This window comes from Homo sapiens, chromosome 1, assembly GCF_000001405.40.
Source record: "Homo sapiens chromosome 1, GRCh38.p14 Primary Assembly".
NCBI classification, from domain to species: Eukaryota; Metazoa; Chordata; class Mammalia; order Primates; family Hominidae; genus Homo; species Homo sapiens.
Window position 1 is genome coordinate 92,870,977 of NC_000001.11, and position 20,486 is coordinate 92,891,462.

General features: G+C 37.9%; 1 protein-coding gene across 5 annotated transcripts in view; it reads right to left on the reverse strand.

Annotated features, from left to right (window-relative positions):
* The window catches only part of DIPK1A (divergent protein kinase domain 1A), a 128,734-nt gene that overhangs the window by 38,248 nt on the left and 70,000 nt on the right, over positions 1 to 20,486 (reverse strand). For 3 of the 5 annotated variants that reach the window (NM_001252273.2, NM_001252270.2, NM_001006605.5), the window contains exon 2: positions 5,320 to 5,454. The exons of 1 other annotated variant lie outside the window; for it this stretch is intronic. In NM_001252273.2, coding sequence (NP_001239202.1) covers positions 5,320 to 5,454 — 135 coding nt within the window. Of the gene's footprint in view, positions 1 to 5,319; positions 5,455 to 5,984; positions 6,175 to 20,486 lie in introns of those variants that run through there. One more of the 5 variants, NM_001252271.2, reaches the window with a different exon arrangement.

Consider the following 20,486-nt stretch of genomic DNA (forward strand, 5'->3'; position numbering starts at 1 on the left):
TACAGATGTTAATCCCAAGAGCCGAATTTAATCAACTTGCTGCAGGCAAACCTTAGTCTCTAAGTCTGCTTTCCAGGGAATTCAATCTGTGACATCTTTCATCTTATGTATTTATTTTTACTTATCCTGCCTGTTCTTTTTCTTTACTTTCTTGCCTTCCTTTGGACTGACTATTCTTTTATTCTTTTATTTATTTATTTTTTTCTGAGACTAAGTTTCGCTCTTGTTGACCAGGCTGGAGTACAGTGGCACAATCTTGGCTCACTGCAACCTCCTCCTCCCGGGTTCAAGCAATTCTCCTGCCTCAGCCTCCTGAGTAGCTGGGATTACAGGCATGCACCACCACGCACGGCTAATTTTGTATTTTTAGTAGAGACAGGATTTCTCCATGTTGGTTGGACTGGTCTCGAACTACCGACCTCAGGTGATCTGCCTGCCTCAGCTTCCCAAAGTGCTGGGATTACAGGTGTGAGACACTGCACCCGGCCTCTTTTATTCTTTTATTATTCCATTTTTTCTATGTTAGTTTGGAAATGGTACACTCTTTCTATTGTATAGGTTATCCTAGAAATAATAATATGCATCCTTGAATTATCAAAGTCTAAAGTTAACTGGTTGATTCTTTTATCCTACTCTGCAATATTGTAAGGACTTAAACACTTTAACTTCCTTTATCCTTCTCCCATTTTATATGTAATTGTTATTCTAGGTATTGCAGCATATAAATGGAATCATACAATATTTGTCTTTTTGTGTTTGGCTTCTTTCACTTAGCATAATGTTTCCAATATTCATCCATGTTGTAGCATGTATCAGAATTTTACTCTTTTTAAAGGCTAATATTCCATTGTATCTATATACAATATTTTGTTTATCCATTCATCTGTGGATGGACAGTTGGCTTGTTTCCACCTTTTGGCTACTATGAATAATGCTACTGTGAACATTGGTGTGCCAGAATCCATTTGAAACCCTGATTTCAATTTTTTTGGTATGTATACCCAGAAGTGGATTTACTGGATCATATGGTAATTCCATGTTTAACAATTTGAGAACCCTCCATACTATTTTCCTGATTCTTTTTCTTTAAATCTTTTTTTTTTTTTTTTTTTTTTTTTTTTGAGACAGAGTCTCCCTCTGTCACCCAGGCTGGAGTGCAGTGATGTGATCTCAGCTCACTGCAACCTCTGCCTCCTGGGTTCATGTGATTCTTGTGCCTCAGCCTTCTGAGTAGCTGGAATTACAGATGTGTGCCACTACACTCGGCTAATTTTTTTGTATTTTTAGTAGAGACAGGTTTTTGCTATGTTGGCCAGGCTGGTCTCAAACTCCTGGAGTCAAGTGATCTGCCCACCTTGGCCTCCCAAAGTGCTGGGATTACAGGTACGAGCCACCATGCCCAGCCTTGATTCTTTTTTATATATTACAATTCTCTGTTGAAATTCTCCATTGTTTTACCTATTTCTTCTACCTTTATTCCTATTTAACTGAACATGAATATAAAGTTATTTTTACATTCTTTTTGAATAACTCTTAATATCTGGATCATCTGGAGATCTGCTTCTAGTATCTGTGTTTATCTCTTGATTTTTGGTCATTTTATTTTGTCTTTTGGCATTCTTTGTACTTTTTTACATAATGTCTCCAGAGAGGGTTTCCTTCTGTCTAGCAGACAAAGGTAATGGTAGCTGATCACCTTAACAAAATCAGGAGCTGTTTGAAGTTGAGACTTGGTTGTAGCTCTGGGTAAAGCTCTAGCTACTTATGTCCAAGGGTATATAGCCCTCTAGGATTTTTAACTGAGAGCTTGGTATTCATTGGGGCTTCTCCTTCTGGCAAGTTCATAACTCTAATCTGTATCTTGTGAGACTGCCAAAGAGTCTGTTCTGCTTTTCAAAGGCTTTCCAATGAGGTTTTTAACCTCTCATTCTGCAGAGCCCCGGGAATTGGCAAATATCCCAACAGGATAACTGGCTGTATGCATGAGGTTCCCCTGGTTTTCCACAAAGCCTCTGCTGATTTCTTGTCCCCAGTAGGGGCTTTCCGCCAACATAAGGTTTCTGCTTCTCAGATCCCTGCCCATGCCCAGAATCAGCAAATTCCCCCCAGGGTAAAAGAGGCCATAAAAGTCAGCTCACCATTCTGAGATTCTTTTAGTTTACCTTTACTCCTGGGGTTCATTCCTTTAAGGTCTCAGCACAAAGCATGGTGTGCCAGTGTTCCCATCCTTGGTTGGATGTAGTAGATTTTTATTACCCTAGCCCCTTAAGACTGTATATTTCAATTTTAGATCATACATCACCAGTGAAAAGCAGCCACAAAAACTAGGCCCACCTCTTTCAAATCTTATCCTCTCGGCTGGGTGTGGTGCCTTACGCCTGTAATCCCAGCACTTTGGGAGGCCGAGGCAGGTGGATCACCTGAGGTCAGGAGTTTGAGACCAGCCTGGCCAACATGGCAAAACCCCATCTCTACTAAAAATAGAAAAATTAGCCAGGTGTGGTGGTGGGTACCTGTAGTCCCAGCTACTTGGGAGGCTGAGGCAGGAGAATCATTTGAACCCGGGAGGCAGAGGTTGCAGTGAGCCGAGATTGCACCACTGCACTGCAGCCCGGGTGACAGAGCAAAACTCTGTCTCAAAAAAAAAAAAAAAAAATCTTATCCTCTCCCAGGTCTTGATCAAGTAATTCCTCCCTATCTTGTTAGCACTTTGAGGCTTTAAAATATACTTTTAAAGAAGTTATTTTATTTTTGAGATGAAGTCTTGCTCTGTTGCCCAGGCTGGAGTGTTGTGGCAGGATCATAGTTCACTGCAATCTCAAATTCCTGGATTTAAGGGATCCTCCCACCTCAGCCTCTCAAGTAGGTGGGACAACATGTGCATGCCATCATGCCTGGCTAAAATATACTTTAACAATATTTTTTCTGCTTGCTTTTTAGTTCTAATCCCACAATTGTGATACAATATTAGTACTATCTTAGCTTAGTACTATTGACTTTAGTACTACTACTTATGATAGGTTTTAAGAACATAATCCCAAATGCAGAATAACTATAATTTTTTAAAAGCCAGTCTTAGGAAAATGATGTATTTTAGACTCAGAAAGCTCTTTCATTATCTTCAGGGTTTGATAAAATAACCATTAAATTATGCTAGAATTATGTTCTGGTTTCCTTTCTTATAAATTAAAGGGAAATTAAATTAAAGTGAAAAGTAATGAAGCACTTCAACTCTAATTTACTCATGACAGAATATGTACCAATATTTGCCCTACATTTGAAGGATACTGTAATGATACAAGATATTTAAAAGCATATCCACTTCATTTTGTCTTAATCTCTTAGATTTCTAACATTACCAGATGATGTTAACAGGTCTTCCTGGGAGGGCTGTGGTGGGGATATGGTTTTTTCTGATCAAGTATATTTGCTGTCTCTTGGAGATGCATAACACATATTAGTATCTAAAAGAACCTAAGAAGTCCTTAGTAAAGTCAGTTGTTATCTTTATTTAACCCTCTGTTTCCAAATACATCTGACCAGGGACATATTTTATCCATGGAATATCTATTAATGTGCTCCAAGGTACCTAGTTTGAGAAAGGTGGCCTAGAGAAAGAGAAATAAACATTTCAAATAGTTTCGGTTATTTGTATGTTTTTGAACTTGATTATCTACCTCCTGTTTCCTCCTTCTTCACTGAAGGTTAGAAACTGAGTTTTGTGGGGTTTTATTAGCTTTATTAGACTGTAACTTCTTCTGTCAGTCTTTTCTGATGTAGGGTAGCAGAAGGAGTATGAGCTTCATAGAGAGACAGAATTAGGATCAAATTCTGGTTCCATCATCTTGGGCAAATTCTCCTGTCTCTCTGGGTCATAGTTCTTTATCTGTACACTATTATGCTAAGGATTAATGAACATGTAAAGTACCCAGTACATTGGCCCCAGAGATACCTCCTATCTTAAAATTCCTTAAGGATCTAGAATGGCCAGTTGGAATGAACACAGGATTGCTATCTTTGAACCTTGACTTAGGACTCTTCTTTACTAACTCATTCCCCTCTCTTGCCTAGTTAAAAGACTGTAACACTCCTGTGGAATAACGTGTTTTTGTATCCTAACTGATGAAGCACCTTGTGTTAAACTGGTTTTTATTTTCTTAGAACTTGGGGAAGCTCCAGGTTTCCGTCTTATGTTCCCATAACAGTTGCTATCTTATTTATCTTACCTTACTGTAATTACTCATTTTCTTTCCTGATCCACTGTAAGTTTTATAAGGTCAAAGATATTTTGCTCCCTGTTATATGCATACACCACTGGCCTGGGTAAAGAGTAGCTACTCAACAACTATAGAATCTTTAACAAGTTATAATAATTGGAACCCTCCAAATCATTACTATTCAAATATAATTCTGAGATGGAGTGTTTTAATATTCTTTATATTAGAAAGTACTGGTAGAGGCCAGGTGCGGTGGCTCATGCCTGTAATCCCAGCTCTTTGGGAAGTCAAGGAGGGCGGATCACTTGAGGCTAGGAGTTCAAGACCAGCCTGGGCAACATGGTGAAACCCCGTCTTTACTGAAAATACAAAAATTAGCCAGGCGTGGTAGTGCGAGCCTGTGATTCCAGCTACTTGGGAGGTTGAGGCAGGAGAATTGCTTGAACCTGGGAGGCAGTTGCAGTAGGCTGAGATTGTACCACTGCACTCCAGCCTGGGCAATAAAGCAAGACTTCGTCTCAAAAAAAAAAAAAAAAAGAGAGAAAGTACTGGTGGAAAAAAAGGAGTTAAATTTACTTGAAATTCTCAAATTTTTAAAATATAAGTCTATAGAATTAATGATCACTACTAGAAATCTTAGACTGATACAGTCATTTTTCTGAGATACATCCAATCACTAGGATAGAAACAGAATAATAATCCTTTTAGATAAATTTTGGTATTCAAGAGTAAAAGATGTGTTCTAGAAAGTCTGCCTGTAAATACGCTTTTATAGTCTAAACATTAAAAAACTCATCTGATTGAAATAAACTAAAACTTAAATATATTAAAAATATATATATATATAATAAAAATCCTTCTTTGTATTGAGGATGCCCCCACACTAACTTATTTATGTGTTATATATTTAAATTTCTGAACACTGGAATTTTCAAAGTGGGGAAAACTTTACTAATGGGTCATGTCAAAAAGCTAAGAAGATTAGCACAATTCTAATGTCAAATTAACTTTTATTTTTAAAAACATCATTAGTAAGTATGTAAGCAGTAAATATAGTGTTATGAAGAGGCTTTTTAGTAAACAGGAAATTTAAAATACTTACTATTATTTTCTTACAGTCCTTTCCTCTGCATAATTCTGTATAGGTAGAATACTGCACATATATAATCCAGCTTCCAACAAAAACCACTAACCAGGAAAAGAAAAGATATTTCATCCGCACATATGAGAAGCGAGCCTGTGAGTAAAAAAGAACATAACGATCATTCATTCAGCACCAAATCAGCATTCAATGTCCTAGAACACGACTTCTCACCCTTCTTGGAACAACTCAATATATATTCCAGGCTTTTATATGGCAATTCTAGAACAAAGTGCACTTTCACTGAGTCCAAACAGCACTGGTCTTAGAAAAGGAAGCTCCTTGGTCCTGCCAAGGAAAAAGGGAACAAAATATCCTTTAAGATGTATAACCTTTCAAATACCACCATCATCCAAAGCTACTTTTTAGGCACAAGCACATGTACCATGCTACCCTGGGCACCTTGTGAGATCAGGTAAAGAGAGGTACAATTCCTATTTACTAGAAGCTTACAAAAGACTCTTTCACATAAGAATCTTAAAGGTCTTTAGGAAAATCATGATAAAAATAATTTTGTTTTAAAGAAATAAGAACAGAAAATCTGGCTATTTGTCTAATGTCTCATACTGACAACCAGAACAAGAAATTAAGCTCTACAGTCATTTCTATTTCCCTATTGTATTCACCAGGGCTTTATGTTCCTCTTGTTCAGCGAACCAAATGTTTCACCGAATAGATATTCTGGAAACTGAGGAGACGCTAACAATTGTTAAAGGAGAAATGACTGGAGAAGGGTTAAGATATATTAAAAATAAGTTACTCTTTGCATATCAACTTGCAAAGTGTAAAGCTGCACAATAGGATCCTCTTTGCATTGTTTTGTTTCCAGTGCTCTTGTATCTAATTGCAACTCGGGCTGGTTGATGCCTTTTTTCCATCAATTACATATCAAACAGTTTCATCTTCAAAAGTGACACTTGATCAAGACTATTTGACATTTATTTTTTGAGTCTGTAGCACCCATGGTCTGGTTTTATAAACAGCAGAACTGAGGACTACGAAGAGAATTCGGCAGAATAAATTAAAGATATGTAAACAAACAATGAAAAGCTAGTTTTGCTTTTACAATCACGAGCCAGTTTCTCACACTGGGAACAGTAGGATATTGTGAGCATTGTGAGCATGCAAAGAAGCAGAAAGAGATGAGAGAGACATAAGCACACCTGCAGAAGACAATGAGTGCAAAGGAAAAAGAGACTCAGGAAATACTGAATTCTATTGGCCCTATTTGTGGTTTAGATATCTTTGTGAGGTTAACAGATGGTGAATCCCTGTACCAAAAGGCTTGAGTACAATGAGTTCTCAGTAAAATTGTAGGTCTCTGAGCTTTATTATTAAAATGAAAAAGTGCCTTAATGCAAGATACTTTTGTATTGCTCTAAGTAAAAAGAAAGTTCAGATTAAACTCCAAATTAAATCACATAAAAGACAATGGGGTATATACCATGGGGTTTGTTTGAAAGATATTTAAGATGACTCGTCTCTAATAAGAGGTTTGGTCATCAGACAGAAATCGACATGTACTAATATTGTGAACCTAAATAAGATTAAATGACATAATGCCTATAAAACATAAGCATATTGCTGGGCACGTAGTAAGTATTCAGCAAATGTTAGCTAAATCAATTTGCAAGTCACTGGGCAAGAAGCCAACAATACTGTCAGTGGCTATCATCTTCTTTTCGGACTTGCCAAAAAGAAAACTGAATCTGAATCTGATCAAGCCTTTTAGCTCCAGCTACCAGTTTACAGGAAATACATGAGACAGAGAAACACAAGTGACACTTAAGTAAGTGACACTATAAGGATATAATCAGCAAACTCCAGGCTGTGGGAAACACTGCAATACAAACAATCCAGTTTCTTCAACAAATAAATTACAAGAAGGGAAAAAAAGGCAAGGGGAAACTTAAAGATTAAAAATCATTTAAGATATATATTAGGCTAGATCTGTAATCCCAGCACTTTCGGAGGCTGAGGTAGGAGAATCACTTAAGTATAGGAATTTGAGATCAGTCTGGACAATATAGTGAGACATTGTCTCTATGAAAAAATTTAAAAATTAGCCAAGGCCAGCCAGGAGCTCACGCCTGTAATCCCAGAACTTCGGGAGGCCAAGACAGGCGAACAACTTGAGGTGAGGAGTTCAAGACCAGCCTGGCCAACATGGTAAAACCCCGCCTATACTAAAAATACAAAAATTAGGCCAGGCGCAGTGGCTCACACCTGTAATCCCAGCACTTTGGGAGGCCGAGGTGGGCGGATCACGAGGTCAGGAGATCGAGACCATCCTGGCTAACACGGTGAAACCCCATCTCTACTAAAAATACAAAAAATTAGCCGGGCGAGGTGGCGGGGGCCTGTAGTCCCAGCTACTCGGGAGTCTGAGGCAGGAGAATAGCGTGAACCCCGGGGGGCGGAGCCTGCAGTGAGCCGAGATCGCACCACTGCACTCCAGCCTGGGCGACAGCGAGACTCTGTCTCAAAAACAAACAAACAAACAAACAAACAAACAAACAAAAATTAGCCGAGTGTGGTGGCATGCACCTGTAATCCCAGCTACTCAGGAGGCTGAGGCAGGAAAACTGCTTGAACCTGGGGGGCGGAGGTTGCAGTGAGCCGAGATTGTGCCACTGCATTCCAACCTGGGTGACAGAGCAAGACTCCATCTCAAAAAATAAAAATAAAAATAAAAATTAGCCAAGCATAGTGGCTCATGCCTGTAGTCCCAGCTATTTGGGAGGCTAGGGTGAGAGGATTGCTTGAGCCTGGGAGGCAGAGGTTGCAGTGAGCCAAGATCGCACCACTGCACTACAGCCTGGGTGACACAGAGAGACCCTGTTGCAAAAAAAGAGAGAAATATATCAAATAATTACAACACATGTATCTTTTTTGAGTCCTGATTCAAATGAAAACCTGTAAAAAATGACATTTATAAGACAATTGAAAATTTTAAGAATGACAGTATACTTGATGATAGTAAAGGATTATTTTAGTTTTTTAAGGTGTGATAATGGTTCTGTGACAATATTTAAATATTTTTCTTTTCTCTACCTATCAAATAGCTACGTTTTTCTACTTCCTCTGGCATATGTTTAAATGGAGAAAAACCCTATGAACTGGACTGCCCGATGCCTACTTGTCATGACAAAGAATGCCAAACATTTTTGAGAGGAAGTTAGATTGATGATGTTCCCAGCAGGGCACTGGGCATCACCTGTTGTAGACAAAATGATAAAAGGAGTGAGACACCTTTTTCTTTCAGCATGCCATTGAGAATTGCTGTGATTTGGGGGTAACACAAAGTAGTAAAAGGACCTTCATGCGTCCTTTAATATCTGCAGATCCTGCAGCCTCACATTTAAAAATAATGATTGAAGAAAGAGCCATAAATTACATCTGTAGCTATTAACCAATTTAATTTCCCTGTGTGCCACTCACTAAAATGTTTCTAGTGGTCTGTTCTGTACCAATTACCTAGATAATGTAGTCTTTGATTAAGAAATGTAGTCTGACCTTTTTATTTATGCTGAACTATTCACAATGACTGCCCAGCAGTTTTTTGTTCGGCAGATTGTGTGCCTAGCTAGTAATGGTATGTTGCTTTTTTCCTAATTTTGTTCCTGAAAAGCATGATAAGAATTTTTGTAAATACACTATGGCAGTGATTCTCAAATGGACTTAGTTTTGCCCCACAGGGGACACTTGGCAATGTCTGGAGACATGTTTGGTTTCCCAACTGGAGGCTGCTACTGAAATCTTGTGGGGTAGCAGCCAGAGATGCTGCTAAACATCCTGCAATGTACAATGTAGCCCCCCACAGCAAAGCATTATCAGGCCCAAAATGTGTTTGAGAAACTTACAGTTACACAATAAAATGAAAACAAAAACTGTGGGGTTGAAAGAGCTAAATTTGTATGACATTAGCATTTTATCTTATATTAGCCTTTAATGCATAAAATATTAGTAATTTTAAAAATATAATAACATCTGTCTGGAAATAACAGAAGCAGTTATCACTAGAGTAAATGATTGCCAATATTTTATTGTAAGCCCACGATGACACAAAATGCCAATTCTACTCTAAAAAATAGTAATAGTTTTTCTTCTTTTAAAATATCGTTTGATTTCATTGTGATAACTTATTTCAAAACAAATCTGAAAATTTTTGATCTTGTTTGTAACTTTACATTAAGTTTTAAAAATAGGCAGAAAGAGGCAACAACCAAAATTTAGCCATTTAAGACTACTTCTGGCCACGCGGTGGCTCACGCCTGTTATCCCAGCACTTTGGGAGGCTGAGGTGGGAGGATCATGGAGCCAAAGGATAGAGCCCATCCTGGCCAATATGCTGAAACCCTGTCTCTACTAAAAATACAAAAAAAATTGGCTGGGCGTGGTGGCGTGCACCTGTAATCCCAGCCACTTGGGAGGCTGGGACAGGAGAATCGCTTGAACTCGGGAGGCAGAGGTTGCCTTGAGCTGAGATCGCATCACTGCACTCCAGCCTGGGCAACAGAGCGAGACTCCGTCTCCAAACAAACAAACAAACAAACAAACAAAAAAACTACTTCTGGCGGGGCGCGGTGGCTCACGCTTGTAATCTCAGCACTTTGGGAGGCTGAGGCAGGCGGATCATGAGGTCAGGAGTTCGAGACCAGCCTGGCCAACACACTGAAACCCATAAAATTAGCTGGGTGTGGTGGCGGGAGCCTGTAATCACAGCTACTCGGGAGGCTGAGGCAGGAGAATCGCTTGAACCCGGGAGGTGGAGGTTGTAGTGAGCCGAGATCATGCCACTGCACTCCAGCCTGGGTGACAGAGCGAGACTCGGTCTCAAAAAAAAAAAAAAAAAAAAAAAAGGCTACTTCTATTATCTATTTTTAATACTCTGCATCTTTCATAAACATGTAAAGCACAAAGTCCTTTTACTTTACCCCTAAATACTCCATACACAAATGTTCTTAATTTTGAGAATGGGGACTCTGTCTCAAAAAAAAAAAAAAAAAAAAAGGCATTATGAGTCTACTGGTCAGAGTTTTAGCATTCTTAATCTTTTTAAGAGGTGAATTTTAGGATTTATAGAAAGAATCTGAATTATTCTTTGATCTCAAGTTTAAAGATTTTATTTGCAGGAGCATATTCTGTGTTTTGATTTTATGAAAACTCTAGAAATAAAGTTTCAATAAAAAGCAGATAATTTTCACATGCTTAGAGGCTGACCGCAAAACAAAATGCCAAGAACAACTAGGGAATTCATTGCATGGGGTGACTCTCAAGCCTGTGACTAGGCTCAATGGTAAAACACTATTTCAAAGAAGTGTCTAAGTAAAAGCAATAGCTCGTGATATATTAAGTGAAAAAAAATTCGCTTTCAAAATCACATGTATGATATGTTCCCAATTTGGCTTTTAGAAAGAGAAATCACCAAAAAACTTTAGAAACTGCAAGGAAATAAACAAAACATTAAGGGTTGTTATCTCAAAATGTCAAGAGGTGGTGGGATTATGGATAATTTTTATTTTTCTTCTCTTAATTTTCTATAACAAATATGTATTACTTTTTTAGTTAGAAAAAACTATTTGTATATATGTGTTTAATGTACATATTTAAATGTCTCTAAGATCTACAAGTCTCTTGATGCTTTAAAAATCTTTTTAACTGTAAAATATTAACACAGAATTACTTAAAATATATAAATATAGCTTACATTATAATTATAAAGCAAATATCTAAATAACTACCACTTGGGTAAAAATACAGAATTTTCTGGCCAGGTGTGGTGGCTCATGCCTGTAATCCCAGCACTTTGGGAGGCCGAGGTGGGCAGATCACCTGAGGTCAGGAGTTCGAGGCCAGCCTGGCCAACATGGTGAAACCCCACCTCTATTAAAAATACAAAAATTAGCTGGGCATGATGGCATGCGCCTGTAATCCCAGCTACTTGAGAGGCTGAGGCAGGAGAATCACTTGAACCAGGGAGGCAGAGGTTGCAGTGAGCTGAGATCGTGCCATTGCACTCCAGCCTGGGCGACAAGAACAAAACTCCGTCTCAAAAAAATAAATAAATAAAACCCCCAGAATTTTCTAACACCCTCACTGACCCCTATCCTCCCAACATGCTCTTGACTACCATGATAATCATTTGTTTATGTGCTTTTCTAAGTAGTTTAACCACTGATCATGTAACCCTATAATGCAGAGTTTGATGTTGATTGCTTGAACTTTACACAAGTAGAAGCATATTCTATTTCGACTTGCATCCTTCTCTTAGCATTATGAGATTTAACCATGCTGATACATATAGCCAGTTTGTTCATTTTCTTTGCTGTAGAGTATTCCACTGATTTTTCAGTAAGCAATTTTTATACTTTTATATACAAACAATATAAAGATTTAAAAATGTATACTTTTCTCTTCAACTTCTGTAAGGAAAAAAAATCCACATAATATGGAGCTGCATTCTGTGCCAGTCACCGCAGGAGACACTCTGTGTATCCCACATATTATATACAATGTTCCTGAAAATCACAGACTTAGAATGTTTGAAAGAGACTTTGGAAACATATAATTCAACCACATGCTGATGTGATATTAGGCTTAGAATGTTAAACAGCTTTGGCTCTAACTCGGTTGTGCCAGGAGGAAGTCTAAAGATTTTACACAGGAAGTGTCACAGACATGCCCTGGGGTGGGTGCAATTCTAGGTCTTAGCCACTGAGGAAGTGACTTCTCCTGGCAAAAGCTGAAGACTATAATCCTTTCCCTTGCTGCTGCTGCTTTAGAGAACACAGGCCAGGCACATATTGAAAGAGCTTCAAGGCTAAGAAAACATAAAAGGCATCTCTAGGGTTAAAAAAGCAGGCATGCAGATGGCTTTTAATTAACAATTAGACAGCCAGTATCTTACAGAGCATATAGGAGGAAGATGCAACCTCTACTAGCAATCTATATATAAAAGGAATGTTGGCATTTGCAATTGCAGGTAAAAAGAACTCATCATAGGGATCTTCAACATCCCAGTGCAGAAGGACAAGGATAAGTAAAAAAACTAAGTGTTTTGATTTTCTATTGCTGTATAACAAACCATCTAAAAACTTGGAGGCTTAAAATAACTATCTATTTGTCTCTCATGGTTCTGAGGGATGATGACTAAGCTAAGCTCTTTAAGGTTCTCATGCATTTGTGATCAAGACTGGAGCCATCTGAAGGACTATGTGGGTTGGATGGGCAGACAGATGGCTTCTTCATTCACATGTCCAACCTCTCAACTTAGGTGGCTGGAACAGCTTTATGTGGCTAGCTGGGATTCTTCAAAGTTTGGTGGTGTCAAGGTAATTGAACTTCTTACATGATGGCTGACTTTGCTCAGAGTGAGTGTTCCAAGACAGCAAAGGGGAGGCTGCATCATTTCTGTAGAATTCTTTTGGTTAGAAATGGCCAGCTCAGAATTAATATAGGAGAGGACCACATAAGGGCATGACTACTAGTAGGCATGGCTCACTGAGGGGTCTTCTTTGGAGACTAGCTACCACCCCAGAAGAGGATCAGCAAAGCAGGGTCTAGGGGTAAGGAGAAAAGCACTGGGGACATCTCAACCAGAATAGACAGCTTTCTTAGCCATTCTAATTAAGGGTTCTTCCTTCTGCCTTAGAGGAGAACTGGAAGTTGCTATTAGAATCCATTAATAGTATTTGTAGTCACATGTATTTATGCCTAAGTTGACTGAAAACAGTTCTCATTCCATATGATGGGCTCAATAACTATCAGCAAATCTTTTGCTGTGTACACAAAGTTCCATGATAAAGAACTCCAAAGTATTAGAAATTGTTCATGATATTAAGAGCGGTGGCTCACACCTATAATCCCAGCACTTTGGGAGGCTGAGGATTGCTTGAGCTCAGGAGTTTGAGACCAGCCCAGGCAACAAAGTGGGACCCCATCTCTACAAAAAATAAAAAATAAAAAATTAGCTGGGTGTGATGGCACGTGCCTGTGATCCCAGCTACACAGGAGGCTGAGGTAGGAGGATTGCTTAAGCCCAGGAGTTCAAGGCTACAGTGAGCCATGTTCACACCACTGCACTCTAACCTAGGTGACAGAGCAAGACCCTGTCTTAAAACAAACAAACAAAAAAAAACAACTCCTTGAGATATGGATATAATAGAATTCATATTACCTTATTATTTCAGTTAAGATTCCAGCATCAGAATCTTAACTGAAGATTCAGTTAAGATTAATGGGCAAATCAGGTGTCCATTTCTCCCTTTGATTAGGCCTAACATGCCACATTGGATCTAGTGCTTACTAAAACATACAATAGCCATACACAAATCTTTGATGGGAATCCTAATTGGCACTTAAACTCACTAATGATTCAATTACTAAAAATAAAGTTTAACTCTGTTTTACCTAAACTTGGAGATGAGAATGCATGGTCCTTTTATACTTCAGATTCTAAAGCATATTTTAGGGCAAAATTTACTTGGAGTAGTTACTTCTAAGGACTTACAAGCTTATTAATATAACAATTTTCAACACAGCTTAGACTCTTGGAGTATCCAGGGGCTGATTATAATTTAGATAAAACTTTATTACTGTAAAGGGTTTTAAAAAATAATTAACTTTAATTGCTAATATTCTGTGAGATTGGTGAAAGAGGCTACGGGTTTCTGAAGCTTCCTTTCCAGTCTTTATTCATGTGACTCCTAGACACATGGTAATTAAATATTGAAACATAATCTCCCCTTGATACATAAAAAAAGCAGAGGTATATGTCCAAATACTGAAGAGACCAGGGAGGGGTGGAAGAGGTTGTTCACCTCCAAGTGTCAGTATTCTGCCTTTGTTATCACTGAAAGGACTGTGGTTGCTCAGGGAATGTGGTCCCAAAGGAGCTACTGTTGATACAGCCTGAGAATCAGTGAGGAGATGCTATTCCCATTGGTTGGTACTCTGACATAGATTTCCAGGAGTCCCAGAACAGAACAACATTTCTTTAACAACAACAACAACAAAAATTGGAAAGTGACTATCTAATTCATTTTTTTTTTGGAAGGAGTCTCACTCTGTCTCCCAGGCTGGAGTCTCAGTTCACTGCAACCTCCGCCTCCTAGGTTCAAGTGATTCTCCTACCTCAGTCTCCCAAGTAGCTGGGATTACAGGTGTGCACCACCACACCCAGCTAATTTTTGTATTTTTAGTAGAGATGGGGTTTTGCCATGTTGGCCAGGTTGGTCTCTAACTGCTGACCTCAGGTGATCCGCCCACCTCGGCCTCCCAAAGTTCTGGGATTATAGGCATGAGCTACCGTGCCCAGTCCCATCTAATCCATTCTAATCAGCCATCTCTGAAGGTAAATACTTAGTTTGTTAAGCAATTAAAACATAAGTGGAATATAAAATGATAAATACATTAGAGCTAGAAGAGTTTTCAGTGAACTCAGTCAGATTCCATCCTTCTTATTGAAATAATGCCAGATTGTTATGCCCAGTGGAGAAAAAATGGACAATAAAGAATTATATTAAAAAACTAAATGATACCGTTTGACATATTCCTTTCCTAGCTGTTTTCCATGTTTAAAATGTATTATATTTTAAGAAAAATAAAGTTGGGGTCATATGATACATATTACTTATCTCTTTTTCTCATTTAACATAAACATGTTCTTATGCCATTATATAGTGTTGATATATCTTCAAAAAATTGATATTTAAGACTGGGCACAGAGGCTCATGCCTGTAATCCCAGCACTTTGGGAGGCCAAGGTGGGTGGATTGCTTGAGTCCAGGAGTTCGAGACCAGCCTGGATAACACAGTGAGACCCTGTCTCTACAAAAAATAAAAAATTACCCAGGCACGGTGGCTTGCACCTGTAGTCCCAGGTACTTGGAAGGCTGAGGCAGGAGGATTGCTTGAGCTGGGGAGATTGAGGCTGCAGTAAGTGATGATGTGCTACTGTACTCCAGCTTGGGCGACAGAGCATGACCCTGTCTAAAAAAAAAATTGATATTAAAAAAATTTTCTTTTTAAATAAAGACAGGGTGTCACTATGTTACCCAGGGTGGTCTCCAATTCCTGGGCTCAAGCAATTGGCCTGCCTCAGCCTCCCAAAGTGCCAGGATTATATGCGTGAGCCACTGTACCCATACTGTAAAATGTTATACATCCACTTAAATATCAATTTTTTTTTTGGTATTTAAATGGATGTATAACATTTTACAGCACAGGTGTGCCATAACTTATCTAACCCTATCTGTATTGTTGAACATTTTTATTATTTCCAATATTGTGCTATAATATTGGATAGTGATAACAAACAATATTAATGAAAGCCAATATTTATTAGTGCTACTCTGTAGAGGAATGTTAAAAGCACTTTCTATATATTAATATACTTAATCCTCATAAAAACTCTATGAGCTGATGTGGTAAATTAGTCAGGAGTTGGAAAACTATGACCCATGAGCCAAATCCAGTCTGCTGCTTGGTTTTATAAATATAGCTTATTGGAACACAGTTACTCTAGTTGTCGATACATTATTATCTAAGGCTGCTTTCATGCTATAATGGCAGAGTTCAGTGGTTGTAACAGAGACAATATGGCCAACAAAGCAAAAAATATTTACTATCTGGCTCTTTACCGAAATAGTTTGCTGACCTCTGGACTGTTCAGCAAATACTCATTCTCTCCCACCGCCTCACCTTCCCTGCCTCATTGGTGTTGGGCTCAGCCATGTGACTTGCTTTAGTCAATGTTTGCTAAGTGCAAACATTAGATGCAAATAAAAGTATGCAATTGGGCCAGGTGTAGTGGCTCACACCTGTAATTCCAGCACTTTAGGAGGCCAAGCAGGAGGATCACTTGAGCCCAGGAGTTTGAGACCAACTAGAGAAACATAGGAAGACCCCATCTCTACTAAAAAAAAAAAAAAAAAAAAAATTAGCTAGGCATAGTGGCATGTGTCTGTAATCCTAGCTACCTGGGAGGCTGAGGTGAGAGTATTGATTGAGACTGGGATGTCATGGCAGCAGTGAGCTATGATCACACCACTGTACTCTAGCCTGGGTGACAGAGGGAGACCCTGTCTCAAAAACAAAAGCAAAGAAAAGGAAAGAAAAAGAAAACTATGCAACTGGACTTGCTCTCTTTCATGTCAGATACTGCCAGTAAAACAGATCCCTACTAGTCTACTGATACACACAAAAATAAATGATACTGTAGCCCCTTGAACCAAAATGATGTCCTGAAGTCAAGCCAAGCCTAGAATAGTGGAACTCCAGCTGACCTGTAGATGTGTGATTGAGAAATAAATGCTTATGGTATGTCACTAAGTTTTGGGGAAATTTATTATGCAGCGTTGCTGGGGTAACTAACTGATACTGGAGGGGACTACTATTATCCCTTTACAAGAATTCTATAAGTAGGGGACTATTCGTCATTTTACAGATGGGAAAACTGAGAACATACAGAGGATAAGCAAGGCCATACTAGTCATAACTAGGAGAAGCAGGCTTTGAATGGAGGCAGTCTGGCTTCAGAGCCTGCACTCACTCTACTCTACTGCCTATTGCATTAAATACATAAATAGTTACCTGAGTTTTTTTTTAAATTAGGTAAGAATTTATTAAATAATAATCTAGTATGGAACACTATTCTTTTTTTACCCATCACCTCAAACGTTGATCATTTCTTTGTATTTGGAACATTCAAAATCCTCTCCTCTACTATTGGAAAATATACAATGAATTGTTAATTATAGTCACCCTATATTACTATAGAACACTTGAACTTACTTCTCCTATCTAGCTGTGCTTTTGTTATCTGTTAACCAATCCTTGGTTATTGCCCTCCTCCCCTTACCCTTCCCCACCTCTAGTAACCGCTCTTCTACTCTCTACTTCTATAAGCTCAACTTTTTAAACTTTCACATGTGAGTAAGATCATGCAGCATTTACCTTTTTGTACCTGGCTTATTTCACTTAATATAATGTCCCCCAAGCTCATCCATGTGGCTGTGAATGGCAAAATTTCATTGCTTTTTATAGCTAGATAGTATTCCATTATGTATATATATCACATTTTCTTTATTCATCTGTTGATGAACACTTAGGTTTATTCCATATCTTGGCTATTGTGAATAGTGCTACAATAAATATAAGAGTACAGATACTTCTTCAACATACTGATTACCTTTCCTTGGAATATATGCCCAGTAGTGGAATTTCTGGATCATATGGCAGTTTCATTTGCAGTGTTTTGAGGAACCTCCATGTTGAGTTCCATAATGGCTACACTAATTTACATTTCCACAAACAGTGTAAGAGAGTTCCTACTTCTCCACATCCTCACCATCATTTATTTTTTGTCTTTTTGAAAATAGCCATTATAACTGGGTTTAGATATCTCATTGTGGATTTTATTTGCATTTCCCTGATGATTAGTGATGTTAAGCATTTTTTCATGTACCTGTCTTCTTTTGAAAGATGTGTCCATTCAGCTCATTTGCCCAGTTTTAAATAGAATTATGTGTTATTGTTGTTGGTTTGCTGTTGAGCTCTTTGTATATTCTGGATATTAATTCCTTGTTAGATGAATAGTTTGCAAATATTTTCTCTCATTCTGCACGTTGTCTCTTCACTCTGTTGATTTTTTTCCTTTGCTGTGCAGAAGCTTTTTTGTTTGATATAATCCCATTTGTCTATTTTGCCTGTGCTTTTGAGGTCTTCTCCATAAGATCTTTGCCCAAACTACTGTCATAAAGTGTTTCCCCTAGGCTTTTTACTAATAGTTTCATAATTTCATGCCTTCTATTCAAGTCTTTAATCCATTTTGAGTTGACTTTTAATATGGTGAAAGATAGAGGTCTGTTTTCACATTTCTCCATATGGCTATCCAGTTTTTCCAACACTACTTACTGAAGAGATAGTCCGTTTCCCAATAAATGTTCCTGGCACCTTCATCAAATATCAGATAGCTGTTTATTTCTGGGTTCTGGGTTCTGTACCACTGGTTTATTGGTCTGTTTTTATGGCTAGTACCATGCTGTTTTTGTTATTATAGCTTTGTAGTATATTTCGAAATCTGGTAGTGTGATGCCTAAAGCTTTGTTCTTTTTTCTCAGGATTACTTTGGCTATTCAGGGTCTCTTATAGTTCTATATTAGTTTTAGGATTGCTTTTTTATATTTCAGTGAATAATGTCATTGGTATTTTGATAGGGATTGCACAGAATCTGTAGATTGCTTTTGGTAGTATGGTCAAGTTAACAATATTCATTCTTCCAATCCATTAACATGAGATATCTTTCCTTTTTTTTTTTAAATCAACAATTGACAGGGTATCACTCTGTCACACAGGCTGGAGTGCAGTGATGTAATCTCGACCCACTGCAGCCTCTGTCTCCTGGGCTCAAGCAATCCTCCCACCTCAGCCTCCCAAATAGCTGAGACTACAGACATGTTCCACCATGCTCAGCTAATTATTTTGTATTTTTGGTGGAGACAGGGTTTTGCCATGTTGCCCAGGCTGGTCTTGAACTACTGAGCTCAAGCAATGTGCCTGCCTTGGCCTCCCAAAGTGCTGAGATTACAGGCGTGAGCCACCATGCCCAGCTGTCTTTCCATTTTTTTGTGTGTCCTCTTCAATTTCTTTCATCAGTGTTTTATAGTTTTCCTTGTAGAGATCTTTCATCTCCTTAAATTTATTCCTAGGTTTTATGTATTTATTTATTTATTGTAGTTATTGTAAATGGGATTTCTTTCTTAATTTCTTTTTCTGCTAGTTCATTGTTGATATATAGAAATACTACTGATTTTTGTATATTGATTTTGTATTCTGCAACTTTACTGAATTCATTGATTAGTTCTAAGAGTTTTTTGGTAGAGCTTTTAGAGTTTTCTATATATAAGATTATGTCTTTTGCAAACAGGGACAATGTAACTGACTCCTTTCTAACTCGAATGCCCTTTCTTTCTTTCTCTTGCTTAATTGCTCTAGCTAGGACTTCCAGTACTATGTTGAATAAAAGTGGTGAAAGTGGGCATCCTGGTCTTGTTCCAGATCTTAGAGAAATAGCTTTCAGCTTTTCCTTGTTCAGTATCATGTTGGCTGTGGGTTTGTCATAGATGGCCTTTATCATGGTGAGGTATTTTCCTTCTATATCCAATTTGTTGAGAATTTTCATCATGAAAAGGTGTTTAATTTTATTGAATAGTTTTTGGTATTTATTAAAATGACCATAAGGTTTTTGTCTTTGGTTCTGTTAATGTGATGTATCATATTTACTGATTTGTGTACGTTGACCTATCTTTGCATCTCTTGAATAAATCCCATTTGATCATGGTAAATTATTTTTCCAGTGTGCGGCTGGATTCAGTCTGTTACTATTTTACTGAGGATTTTTACATCTATGTTCATCAGGTATATTAGCCTATAGTTTTCTTTTTTTCTGGTGTCCTTGTCTGGTTTTGGTATTGAAGTAACACTGGCATTATAGAATAAGTTGGAAGAATGCCCTTCTTTTCAGTTTTCTGGGAGAGTTTGAGAATTGGTATTAGTTCTTTAAATATCTGGTAGAATTCTGCAGTGGAGCCATTGGGTCCTGGGCCTTTTTATGATAGGAAACATTTTATTACAAATTCATAGATTCAATCTCATTACTTGTAATTGGTCTGTTCAGGTTTTCTATTTCTTCTTGGTTCAATCTTGGTAGAATGTTTATGTCCAAAAATTTATCCATTTCCTCTAGTTTTCTAATTTGTTGGTGTGCAGTTCTTCATGATACAAAGTCTCTAATGATACTCTGTATTTCTGTGTTATCAGCTGTCATATCTCCTTTTTCATTTCTGATTTTATTTATTTAGGTATTTTCTCTTTTTTCTTGGTTAGTCCAGCTAATGGTTTACCAATTTTGTTTGTCTTTTTGAAAAACCAATTTTTCATTTCATTGATCTTTTGTGGTTTTTTTTTAGTTGATCTTTATTATTTATTTATTTCTAATTTTGGGTTTGGTTTATTCTTGCTTTTCTAGCTCCTTGAGATACATTGTTAATTCATTTATTTAAAATCTTTCTACTTTTTGGATGTAGGTGTTTATTGCTATAAATTTCCCTCTTAATCTGCTGTAT